This window comes from Homo sapiens, chromosome 15 (genome assembly GCF_000001405.40).
Source record: "Homo sapiens chromosome 15, GRCh38.p14 Primary Assembly".
NCBI classification, from domain to species: Eukaryota; Metazoa; Chordata; class Mammalia; order Primates; family Hominidae; genus Homo; species Homo sapiens.
In genome coordinates this window covers 90473126-90486344 of record NC_000015.10, presented here as the reverse complement: position 1 = coordinate 90486344, position 13219 = coordinate 90473126, and the positions used below count along the sequence as shown (strand labels likewise).

General features: G+C 42.5%; 1 protein-coding gene across 2 annotated transcripts in view; it reads right to left on the bottom strand.

Moving 5' to 3' along the window:
* Positions 1-13219, bottom strand: part of IQGAP1 (IQ motif containing GTPase activating protein 1) — a 113998-nt gene that overhangs the window by 15895 nt on the left and 84884 nt on the right. Inside the window, exons 20-31 of one of the 2 annotated variants that reach the window (NM_003870.4) lie at positions 12547-12630; positions 12378-12449; positions 12212-12281; positions 11652-11860; positions 9527-9682; positions 9115-9278; positions 8456-8680; positions 4245-4385; positions 4064-4148; positions 2752-2984; positions 1993-2125; positions 213-315 (exon numbers count right to left, since the gene is read on the bottom strand). In NM_003870.4, coding sequence (NP_003861.1) covers positions 213-315; positions 1993-2125; positions 2752-2984; positions 4064-4148; positions 4245-4385; positions 8456-8680; positions 9115-9278; positions 9527-9682; positions 11652-11860; positions 12212-12281; positions 12378-12449; positions 12547-12630 — 1675 coding nt within the window. Of the gene's footprint in view, positions 1-212; positions 316-1992; positions 2126-2751; positions 2985-3595; positions 3644-4063; positions 4149-4244; positions 4386-8455; positions 8681-9114; positions 9279-9526; positions 9683-11651; positions 11861-12211; positions 12282-12377; positions 12450-12546; positions 12631-13219 lie in introns of those variants that run through there. The other variant, XM_047433204.1, reaches the window with a different exon arrangement.

The window sequence follows — 13219 nt, the reverse complement described above, 5'->3', positions numbered from 1 at the left end:
CTCTGACTCCAGTTCCTTATAGATATTGATCACATCTGGGCTTTTGTTGTTGTTGTTGTTTTCTCTCTTATGAAACTATCAGGATCACATCTATTTTATTTCTCAATGTATATCCAGAGTTTGGTATAGTGCAAAAAATAGAGGAGGTGACAATTACAACACTTTTCTGTCACATTCCCTTTTGATCTTCCAGGCAAAAGTTAGAACTCTACCTATCAGGGACTCGATGGTGGGCACCTCGCCGAGGTCGTCCAGCAGTTCGTGGATTGGATCATTGTGCTCCGGAGCAATGGCATCCTGGTGATCCAACAGGAGCTGCAAACACCAATGATCAACTCCATTTATACATTCAACTCTTCAGCCCGTCCCTCCCTAGAATGTCTAACAATGATCTGCACAAAGAGGTTCCAACAAAGTTCCTATATTCAAAGAAACAACAAGCAAATCCTCAGCAAACTAACCCAAATAAACAATATGATATATAAGGCACCACACCAGGCTCTGTTGAATGACTTATGTTATGATATAAGAAGAGGAAATACTGGTATTCTCTTAACCTCATGGCCATAAAGGATTCAAATGTGCCCTGTTTGAGAAAGAACACTGGCTGGGTGCAGTGGCTCACGTCTGTAATTCTAGCATTTTGGGAAGCCAAGGCGGGTGGATCACCTGAGGTCAGGCGTTCAAGACCAGCCTGGACAACATGATGAAACCCTGTCTCTACTAAAAATACAAAAATTAGCTGGGCGTGCTGGTGTGTGCCTGTAATCCCAGCTACTAGGGAGGCTGATGCAGAAGAATTGCTTGAACCCAGTAGGTGGAGGTTGCAGTGAGCCAAGATTGCGCCATTGCACTCCAGCCTGAGTGACAGAGCAAGACTCCATCTCAAAAAAACAAAACAAAACAAACAAACACAAAAAACCCACAAAACACTGAAACTCAAAGTTCAATACCCAAAGTCATCAATGTACCCTACTGCCAGTTCAAATAAGTCACGTGCACGCTTTTACTTAATGTTTCCAGTGTATGACATGATTTAATTCAGAGAAAAGTATACCAAATCAATGTTATAATTATTGTAGGGGCACTCAACAAAGTCTTCAAGGTGCCATTATCCCCAGTGATGCCCTCAGAAATGACAGTAACCTGAAATTTCATTTACATTTTAACATATGCCCTTGTTCCTGTTTTACATGTCCATGTCCCCAGAGGGGAAAAAATGATTTGAAAAATCTGAAGAAACATGGAGCTCCAGCTTCCAAGGGAAAAATCCACTCCAAGGCTACACAGAGAAAGCTAGTATTCTAGATCATGTTAGAAAAATAACGCAGAGAGCTAGGGTAAAAAGAAAGAAGAGTAAAAGCACTATTTTATTAAGGCAATAGATAAATTTAGTGGGATTTTGATTCAGTAGGCCTGGGGCGGTGTCCAGGAAACTTCATTTTTAACTATCAGCCCATAGGATTCTGATGCAGGTGGCCTGGGAAGACCTTTTAGAAACTTAGCAGTAGATACTGTTAAGAATAACAAGCAAAAGGCCAGGCGTGGTGGCTCACGCCTGTAATCCCAGCACTTTTGGGGGCCGAGGTGGGCAGATCATGAGGTCAGGATATCGACACCATGCTGGCTAACACAGTGAAACCCCGTCTCTACCAAAAATTCAAAAAATTTAGCCAGGCACGGTGGCGGGTGCCTGTAGTCCCAGCTACTCGGGAGGCTGAGGCAGGAGAATGGTGTGAACCCAGGAGGTGGAGCTTGCAGTGAGCCGAGATCGCGCCACTGCACTCCAGCCTGGGCAACACAGTGAGACTCTGTCTCAAAAAATAAATAAATAAACAAAAAAGAATAACAAGCAAAAAAAGAGACATCAAGGAGATGCATTGTCAGTTAGATTACAGGAAGGTTAGACACCTGGCTACCAGAGATGATAAGCAGCAGCCAGGGATAATAATTAAGGACAATGAAATTAAGTAATTAAAGAAAAATACTTACAGTGTGGGTGTTGATGATTTCACCAATGGAAATGTAGATTACTGGTTTGGTGAGGGTTACTAAATCAGAGTACTCATCCACATTAAATTTATCCTGAAGCTCTGGGACATCACAAGCAGTTTGGAAAAACCGTCTGAAATAAGCACAGGAGGCAGCCCCCCAAAAAGGGACATACACATGAAGTTGGCAAGAGGACATTTCACAAACCTCTCACACAATGAGTGCAAACAGAAGCCAGTCAACAGTTACTTCAAGAGAAAGTGCTGTGTGTTTGCTGTGCTTGACAACCTTGGGATAGTGGTTCGAATAACTTCTTTCTCCACCTAGTTTGTAGTTTTAGTTTTACCCATAAGAACCATTGCACCATGACTTAAAAGTTTCCAGACACCATTAGGAGAACCAATTCTATCTCTAAGACAGTGCTCTGAAGCACTGAATTCAAAACTAGATGTTAATTTACAAAAATTAAAAGCATTCTCCAATTCTTCTCTGATTACAAGGTAACATGTACTAAATGCATAATCATCATTATTTTTATGTTAACTACTATCTATTTCATAAGTGTTAACTACTATCTATTTCATATGAAAATTCTCTTCAAAGTAAATGGATCATCTTCTGGAATCCTGGGCACATCAAACACGTCTTCTACATATGGCAGTCCGGGGAAAGTGAGAGGTGGTTTTTAATCTTATTTTTCCCCTCAACAATAAAAATACATCCACAGACTCTCTTAAGCACTTGTGCCTTTCCCCTTACCTGAATTTCTGGTAGGACTGGGAAAGATATTCATTAATGATGCTTAAGTGGGCATTATCTCCCAGAAACATCTTATTGGAAGCAGCATGCTGAAGCATTTTTGCAATGGAGCCCAGATTTCGGCGTTGGTCTGTGGTAAGCTGGCCTCCTGCTGACAGGTCAATGATGTCAAAGGCATCAGGAGCAACAATGGCTGGATTCATGTATCGATAATAAAGCAAGTTACCAATAATCTGGAACAGACGAAACAGAAAGATGGGTATTAAAAGACATACCACCAAGGAAGCTATAAATGACTTTGCTAGCAAAGAAAAGCAGAAAATGCAGTCCTATGAGGAAAAAATAAATAAAAAATACATATACACACGCATGCATGCACATATACACACTCTCTCTCATGGCCTGGAACTAAATGAAATATCCCTTTGTTCAATACAGGAAAACAATGAGAACAGAACTGAAAACTACTGCCAGTAGTTAATGAAAGAGCAGATTCAGAAGGTAAAAATGACACACTTAAAGTCTGTTATTAAGTATTTCAGGGCATCTTTTGTTCACATATCATGGTAGCAAATAAGGCTGCTGTCACCCACATGCACTTTGTACTTTCATGTAGATGGGCTTTCCTTATAAAAAGCTAACAAACATAGCTAAATTCCTTAACATGACCCAATCAGCATAGAGTAACCCCACCTCCCAACATTCTCATGCTGCAGACTTCAAAGGCCAAGTTCATGCCTCTGAAATTAAATTCACTTAACACACATCTCTTCCACAGAAGAATTCAGGGGCAGTCACAGCATTTCCCCTAGAGTTTCATTCAGAAGAAATAAAATTAATTCACCTGAACAGAAAGTCTAGAATCGAGGCCTCACTGTAGGAAAGCACAGAACTAGGAGAGAGAAGAAAAAAGCATTCAGATTAAAAAAAAAAAGAAAAGAGAAGAGCATAGCTGAGTAAGAAAGAGTTATCAGCAACAGCCTTAGCAGAAACAACTGTGCCTGCTACTATTCGCCAGGTCACCAGCAGAGGGAACAATACTACAGCGAAAAGATAGGACTCAAAGAAACTCATCTGAAAACAGGAAAAATCCATCTTTCTACTTGTTTGATGTTTGTGTGCCAAACTATAGGAAGTGTTTCATCCTAAGAGAGGTACCATTTACCAATTACAATTGCTTTCAAAAGCTCACAATCAATGGTAAGCTACTGCCAGAACCTACACTTAGGCAGTTAGTAATGATCTATGGTCAGCCCTGGTTTTATTGCTTTGTCCTCAAAGGGCAGGAGTCTGCCGGCTATGAGATTCTTACCTTCAGCAGCTCATCCTCACCAGCATCAGGGAACTTCTCATGCAACGAGTCCTTCAGCACTTTGGCAATGAAGCGCATCCCATAACTGCGGGATGGACAAAACTTAGTGAGAAGGGCCAAGGAGCAGAAAGGCACTTAGTGCTGGGTTCTACTGGGGGTCATGACAACTGATGGCACTCACGGGATTTTGTCCACAGAGCTGACAATGGCTGAGAGAAACTTGTCTGTCACAGCCCGCATGTTCCTGATGGAGCTGTCTAGCCGTGTCTTCACTTCTTCATGAGCTAGCGCCTGCTCAGGGGTCACATCATAGGGCAGTTTGCTGGGAAGACAGAAATTATACCCAACTATGTTAGACTAACAGCCAGGAACAGCCTGAAGCAAGTGTCTTATCTTTCATAAACTATAAGACCCAGAAATATTAGATAGCTTAAGCTCATCCTCACGGGGCTGGTAAGTGATAAGTCTAGAATCTGAACGCAGGTTTTTAACTGTGAATCAGGTGCCTGAATTGTGTGCCAGGCACAATAACAGGCACTTGGGAATAAAAGTTATACAAGACATGACACCTTCTCTTCAGTCTTTTACAGTCTGGTGGGAGCGACACACAAACAGATGATTATAAACCTATTGTGCTGTAAATCAGTTCACCAAAAGTGCCACAGGACCATAGGGAAAGGGCTTCAACTCAGAATGGAAAAAGCAAGGAAAGCTTCCAAAACGAAGGGATGCTTGAACTCAGGAAAAAAGGAGAGGAAGAGTCTTCTAGGAAGGAAGGGGAGACAGGAGAAATGACAGTGGAAAAGCAGACAGGGAGCAGGCCATGACAGACCCCGTATATGATACTGACAAATCTGGACTTTGTTAGAAACCAGAAGGAGGTCTTCAAGGATAGGAGTGCTATGCCAGGCACAGCAGCACATGCTAGCATTCCCAGCTACTAGGAAGGCTGAGGTGGGAGGACTGCTTGAGCAAGACCTTGTCTTAAAAAAAAAAAAAAAAAAAAAAAAAAGAGGCAGAGAGAGCTTTGGTACACACAGAAGGGGAAGAGAAGGCAATGTGACCACAAAGGCAGAGGCTGGAACCACACAGCCACAAGTTGAGGGATGTCAACAGTCACCACAAGCTCTAAGAGTCAAGAAACAGAGTTTCCACTAGAGCCTCTGCAGGGAGCGTGGCTCTTCCAGCACCTCGACTTCATGATAATGGTTTCAAATTTCTGGCCTCCACAATTGTGAGACCATGACTTTCGGTTGTTTTAAGCCACCCAATTTGAGGTGATTTGTTATGGCAGCCTTAGAAAATACAAGTAGAGGCCGGGTGTGGTGGCTCACGCCTGTCATCCTAGCACTTTGGGAGGCCGAGGCGGGTGGATCACCTGAGGTCAGGAGTTTGAGACCAGCCTGGCCAACATGGAGAAACCCCATCTTTACTATAAATACAAAAATTAGCCAGGCGTGTGGCGCATGCCTGTAATCCCAGCTATTCGGGAGGCTGAGGCAGCAGAATCGCTTGAACCAGGGAGGCAGAGGTTGCAGTGAGCTGAGATTACACCATTGCACTCCAGCCTGACCAACAGAACGAGACTCTGTCTCAACCACAACAACAAAAAGAAAAATACAAGTAGATAGGGATACCCCTCTTCATTTGTCATAGCATGGCTAAATTAAAATTGGTAGACTATGAACACAAAAATTCTGCAAAAATCAACAGAAACATTCTATGAGAAATAAATAAATACATGGAACTTAACAATAAAGAATATTGTATATTTTATTATTTATATGAGTTTTAAAAGTAGTAACCAGCAAGGGAATCAATATGCTAAAAAACGTTGGTGATAGAACAGAACATTAACTTTGAGATTTTAGGAAAGAACATTCCCAAGAGGTGACAAGATTCCAGTTTGCTACGTGTATGGTGGCTGAAGTAAAAGAAGAAAGCTAAGGGACCTGTGATGCTTACCTGCAGGACAGATCCCCACCACACCACCATCCCTCACAGTCACTGGTATCTTAAAAAGAGTTCAAATCAATTTCCTTTTTTTTTTTTTTTTTTTTTAAGATATGGGGTCTACATTGCCCAGGCAGTGCTCAAACTCCTGGGCTCAAGCGATCTTCCTGTCTTGGCCTCCTGAGCAACTGGGACTACTGGTGCATGCCACCATGCCTGGCTCAATTTCCATTTTATGAAAGGCAAAATAAGACACCAGTTTCTTATAGGTACCCACAAGAAAACCAATCCTGAAATGTCCAGCGGGCTTTGGATCTGAAAATGACTGACTCATGGACCATCAGAGGAAATAACTGAGAAGCCCGGAGCCAGTGTACATGGGGCTATCGGCAAGGAATGCCCTGGGTTGCAGGCAAAACTTCCCAGACAAGTATTGCACTTGGCTGACCACATTCCTGGATGTGGGCCTCAGGTATGCAGGCAAAAAAATTAAAAAGACTTTTGCAATGATCTGAGTCCTGATAACAGACCTACATGGTACTGAGAACCAATCAGATGCCAAATGATTCCTAATAAGGAAACGCCCCTTCTTTCTTTTTTTGTCAACCAGGATGGAGTGCAGTGGCGCCATCAAGGCACACTGCAGCCTCAACCTCCCATGCTCAACCTATCCTCCTGCCTCAGCCTCTGGAATAGCTGGAACTACAGGTGTGCACAACCACACCCAGCTAATTTTTTTTTTTTTTTTTTTTAAGTAGGGACAAGGTATCCCTATGTTACCCAGGCTGGTCTCAAACTCCTGAGCTCAAGCAATCCTCCCACCTCAGCCTCCCAAAGAGCTGGGATTACAGTCGTGAGCTACCATGGCTGGTGAGATAAGCCCTTTCAAGGAGTCAGCAGAATGTTCCGTTCTCCACCCAGCGTAAAACTCCCTGTTTGCCTGGCATCCGGGTACATGGAAAGTAGAATGAAGAATAGTGTTATTCAAAGTGTGGACCAGTGCCAGTCTACAAACTGATCAAAGACAAGATAAAGACAATGAGTCAGAATGTAAATCAATACATTACTTCCTTCATTAAGAAAATCTTGCTATGAAAAAAAAAGTATCAGTTAAACTAAACAGTGTGCACAGATGATTTTCCATTACTGGTGTGCAAACCACACTTTGAATAGCAATGGTGTGGACAGCTGCTACTCCACCTATGCCCAGAGAGCTTCATGCATGATCTAACTCTACTCCACAACAAGAAAAAACCACAACAGACCATGCTGCTCACACCTCCATCTCCCACCCCTCTGGGTCCTCACCCAAGACAAATAAAACCAGAAACGTTTTGGCATTCTGAACTCCCTTTTCCCAGCATTACCAATATTTGATTGGCACACTTTTGCTTTAGATAAATGAATGTTGGTGGTTACGCTATGGCCCTAGCTCAGCTATCTCCTGTAATACGTTAATTTAATTAGCCCAACTCACGATATTTCAGGGAAGCTCACTCCACACCGTTTTCTTTTTCCTTTAATGAAACACAGTGATCTCACCCAATCTATATGAACCTTCTCATTCAACTGTATCCCTAGTTATGCCAGGGTCCATTTAAGTCCTACACCCTCCAGCTTAGAGTGTTCAGACATAAACACTCTGCACCTAGCTCTTAGTAAGGCTGGGTTCATCTTAGCTTTAGGGCCTCAGCTAAATGAAATTTTATCTTCCGGGATAGGCTTTCCCTAACCACCTTATGTTAGCTCCCTCTTATAAAGTCTCCATTAAAGAACCGTACATAAAACTTCATAAAACTTTCTTCAATGTTTAATTATGCTTTTATTTTTATGTACCTGGTTGGTGTCTCTTCCACCCAATGAACTATGAAGAGAGGGCAGGAAGCATGTCTGTTTCACTCATTATTGCATTACTGTACACATCTCTAACACAATGCCTGGCACATAGTTAATACTCAATAAATATTTGCTAAATAAGTGAATTTATTACTAGGTCAACAACTTAGAAAGCACAGTTTTCTAAAGAAAAACTATTTGAGGCTGGGTGTGGTGGCTCACAGCTGTAATCACAGCACTTTGGGAGGCCGAGGCAGATGGATTGCCTGAGGTCAGGAGTTCGAGACCAGTCTGGCCAACATGGTGAAACCCAGTCTTACTAAAAATACAAAAATCAGACAGGTGTGGTAGCGTGCAACTGTAATCCCAGCTACTCGGGAGGCTGGGGCATGAGAATTGCTTAGACCTGGGAGGTGGAGGCTGCAGTGAGCTGAGATTATGCCACTGTACTCCAGCCTGGACGACAAGAGTGAAACTCTGTCTAAAAAAAGAAAAGAAAAGAAAAACTATTTGAACTAATATTAGTTTATAAATAAAGAGAGGGGAAAAAAGAGGGAAAGACTATAACAACATGAAAGAAAAGTGTCATTATGGTTAACATACCTTGCCTCTCCTGTCTGAGACTCCATCTGATTAACCCAAGATTTGTAAATATCCACAGGGTCAGTTTTGATGTTGAGAGATTTGTCATCCATAATTTCCTTCACGACTGGGGCCAAGATCTGTCTCAGGGCATTCTGGCCACGGGCACCACGGTTGAAACTTACAACCATTTTAATAACCGTAGGATTTCCTGTCACAATCTCTTGAATCTGATCTACCTTCGACCTATAAAACATCAGATAAAAATTTAAACTTGTCACAAAACCCATCAACTTAAAAGATCCTTCCTGCTTAAAGATCCTATCTCCCTGAAACAGTTTCTCTCGAAACATTCCCCAGCACTCACAGAATGTTCCTGCAGCTGCACGCTCAATCGTGGTCATGATTGGGTCCGCTACTAGATAAAAATGTGAATTCTTTCTGTTCAGATTACTTTTTGAAATTATACCTTAATACAGAATGTTCCTAAAGTTAATTTATCCCTTCCCTAGAAGCAGCAAGATTTTATATCAGTTATTTAAAAATTAGATGCTTCTTTAGAGTAAGTATTTTTCATAAATTAATTGAGATCAAGAAAAGATCAGGAAGGCATGAATCTCAAACTGGGAGCCCCTCTGATAGTGGGAAGGGGCCTGTGCCCTGAGGAAATCTGTTCATACTTGATTTCCTCTTGGAGTGCTGTCTTAAAGAGCCGCAGGAGCAGGTACTCCTCTCGCTGGTTGGACGCGTAGTTGTAGAGTGTGAAGATTACAGAGTCCATGAACTTGGTGGACTTGTTCTGGGGCATCTGAAAAATGAGCTTGGCCAGATAGGTGGGATTGGTCTGAAATAAAACCAAGGGATAAGTCATTTGTAGGTAATATAAAGGCTGGCAAGATATATTCAATTATTTAAAATTGAAGGACTACAATACATATGAGAAAAAAGATTAATAAATTAACATGTTACAGTGCCCCTCACTCACCCCTCAGTGGAAGTCAAAAATACTTCCAGAGAGATCGATGGTAAGGCTTTCTTGTGGAAAAATAAATTCACTAAATTTTTATAACACTGATTCCAGGAGCCACTTACTTGCAATAAATAAAACAGGTGCTGGTAAGCTTCCAACTTCTCTCTCTTCTCCTTGCTCAAAGCCTTGAGACCTCCCTTCTGTTTATTTATCATCATCATATCAGACAACTGTTCCTTATTTTTTTTGGTAAGTTTTTTACTGTGGGAAACCACATCCTATAAACAAAAACCAATAAATAGATCAGAAAGCTTTCAAAGATGAACCTCTGGGCATTGAGGAAAGGTTTTGCAGCATGTGCAAACTCACATGAAGGTGTACTGCACTGGCAGATTCCCACTGAATATTTAAAAACCACTACACTTTATCCTGTTTTCAGTACACCAGTCAAATCCATTCCTATGTTCCAACAAAGAATCTGAGCCATAAGAATGTCCACTGAATTGGCAAACCAACTTCCAGCAGTCTATTATAAAAATAAGTCTTAAATACAATAAAAGCTACATATATATTGAAACATTAATTGCAATGTTATTTATAATAAACGCTTGGAAAACAACCTAAATGTCAAATACTAGGGGAAAAAGAGGTAAATCATAGTATATCTTCTAAAAATCTAATATGCTACTGTTAAAAATAATATTTATGGCTGGGTGCAGCGGCTCACACCTGTAATCCCAGCACTTTGGGAGGCTGAGGCAGGAGGATCACCTGAGCCCAGGAGTTTTGAGACCAGCCTGGGCAATACAAAGATACCCTATCTCTTATAAAAATATAATTTGCCAGACGTGGTGGCATGCACCTGTCGTCCTAGCTACTTGAGAGGCTGAAGTGGGAGAATCACTTGAGCCTAGGAGGTCGAGGTTGCAGTGAGTCATGATCATGCCACTGCACTCCAGCCTGGGGTACAGAGGGAAACTCTGTTTCAAAAAATAAAATTAAAAAAAAATTATGACTACTTATCATAGGGAAAGAGTCTTATCCTTTAATATGAAGTAAGAATGTAAGATACAAAATGACTGGGGTAGGTGAAATTAGGGGAAGACATTTATCTTCTTTTCTCTATCAAAATTTTGTCAATTAAGTTGTTTTATGTCTTAAATAATTTTTTTTTTTTTTTTTTTTTTGGAGATAGAGTTTCACTCTGTCACCCAGTCCGGAGTGCAGTCATGCAATCTTGGCTCACTGCAACCTCTGCCTCCCAGGTTCAAGCGATTCTTCCACCTCAGCCTCCTGAGTAGCTGAAATTACAGGCATGTACTACCATGTCCAGCTAATTTTTTTTAATTTTTAGTAGAGACAGGGTTTCACCATGTTGGCCTGGCTGGTCTCAAACTCCTGGCTTCAAGTGATCCGCCCTTCTCGGCCTCCCAAAGTGCTGGGATTATAGGTGTGAGCCATCATGCCTGACCTGTCTTACATAACTTTTTTAAAAGCTTATGATGGCCGGGCATGGTGGCTCATGTTTGTAATCCCAGCACTTTGGGAAGCCAAGGTGAGTGGATCAATCACTTGAGGCCAGGAGTTCCAGACCAGCCTGGCCAACATGGTGAAACCCCCGTCTCTACTAAAAATGCAAAAAAGCCGGGTGTCGTGGCTCACGCCTGTAATCCCAGCACTTTGGGAGGCTGAGGCGGGTGGATCACCCGAGGTCAGGACTTCAAGACCAGCCTGGTCAACATGGCGAAACGCCATCTCCAGTAAAAATACAAAAATTACCAGGGTGTAGTGGCATGCGCCTGTAATCCCAGCTACTTGGGAGGCTGAGGCAGGAGAATCGCTGAACCTGCGAGGCAGAGGTTGCAGTGAGCCGAGATCACGCCACTGCACTCCAGCCTGAGCGACGAGAGGGAAACTCCGTCAGCAAAAAAAAAAAAAAAAAAAAAGCCAAAAATCAAAAAACATTAGCCAGGTATAGTGTCACGTGCCTGTAATCCCAGATACTTAGGAGGTTGAGGGAGGAGAATTGCTTGAACCTGGGAGGCAGAGGTTGCAGTGAGCTGAGATCACATCGCACTACAACCTGGGCAACAGAGTGAGACTCAGTCAAAAGAAAAAAAAAAAGCTCTTATGGCAGTAGCTGAGGAGAAAGTCAGCCTCCACCCTCCCCACCAGTCAGAAAGGGGAATGCAGGGGTTACAAAGCAGGATGAACCGTTCCAAGGCCCCCGCTGGCACTGGGCCATACCTGCAACGTAATCTTATTTTTCACTAGCAGTCCAATTTTGATATCCATGAGATTGAGGTCATTCTCCAGCTGCTGGTTAGAACGAATGAGGGTGATAACCTCTTCCCGCATCTTCATAAGGTCAAGCTCCTCCTGAAAATCCTGGTCACTTTGGTCCAGCAGGTGGACAAATTTTCGGACCACAACCATAGGAGGATCCTCAGCATTGACTGACAGAAAGTATGCATCAAAGAATGGAGTTAGCAGAAAAAGTACTACGTCTCAGGAAATAGCATTGTCTTGAAAAAGTAGTCTATTCATAAACATTTAATTTTGAGATGTGCTAAGACAACTATCAGGTGCAGTCTTCTGTGTCAGGCTATTGCTATGTTATGATAAAGGTTAATGCAACAAGCCAACAAGACACCTAGCCACATGTTAGCAAAGGGGCTTATGTCACAGGTCACACCCTCTCCCCCAAGCCTTGCCTTCAGGATAACAAAAGAGGTCTGTGGAGAATACCCTGAACTTGGTGGCTCCCAGCCACTGCCTCAACTCTTCATGCGGAGCCAGTTACTCACTGAGAGTCTTGTAGTCATCCCGAGCTTTGTTTGCCCGAATAAAAGCCTGGATTTTGATAATGTCATTTATCTAAGGAACAAAAAAGAAGAAATTTCTCTGTTCATCTGTCTACCAAAAATATGGCAAAATTGCCCCTAATGGCCTGTATGATCCAAGGGTGCTTACATGGTCCCGGAAGTACTGCAGGCGATCTCGATAGCGCTTTCGAGCTTGGTGCATCCTTGCCAGGGACTGAATCTGTGGAAAAGGGATCCTGGAAATTAGAAGAGTCCTTCATCTCAACACGTGTTATACCTGTGCCCCTCATGGAGAAACCCTGTTCAGGCTACCATACCTTTACAACTTCATCTTTGTGGGAGCGCAGGTAAGCTAACCGATCTTGATATGCCTTCTTCTGCTTGTATCCTCTCCACTGTGACTGAAACAGTCAAATGTTACAGAAGACATATTACTTCCCAAGCATCAATGGAAGTTAAAAAAAAACTTTCATCTTGATACATGATCCAAGTGCAATTTCATGATGAAGTTTTAGGAAGGACCACTTCCAGCAGTGACAGGGGAACAAGGGCACGGGCCATCCCTCCACTGGAAGAACACGATGGCTACATTCTACTTCCCCAACGTCAGCACAGCCCTGCACACCTTTTACAGTGCAGCCATACAGATTCATTTACTGGCTTCTTACAACAAACCAGGTGAGGAAGATAAGATACAATGGGGCATTCCCCTTTTACAGATGGGGACAAAGACTTGGAGATTCACCACTGTCTGGCAGTAGTGCAGCCATCATTCCTAACTCAGAATTCTTTCCAGGACATTGTGCTACCTTATCATTGAAGCCAGACCACAGTTGTTTCCCTCAAGGTTCAAATCTTACAGAAAGGTACAGTCTTAGAAGAAGAGAGGAAGAGGTACCCAAGAACTGCCACTGTGCCAGCATTAAACACCTGTAGGCACACTACAGTTAAATGGTAGTAAAGAGGAGGTACCTGTCAAAGGAAAGAGAA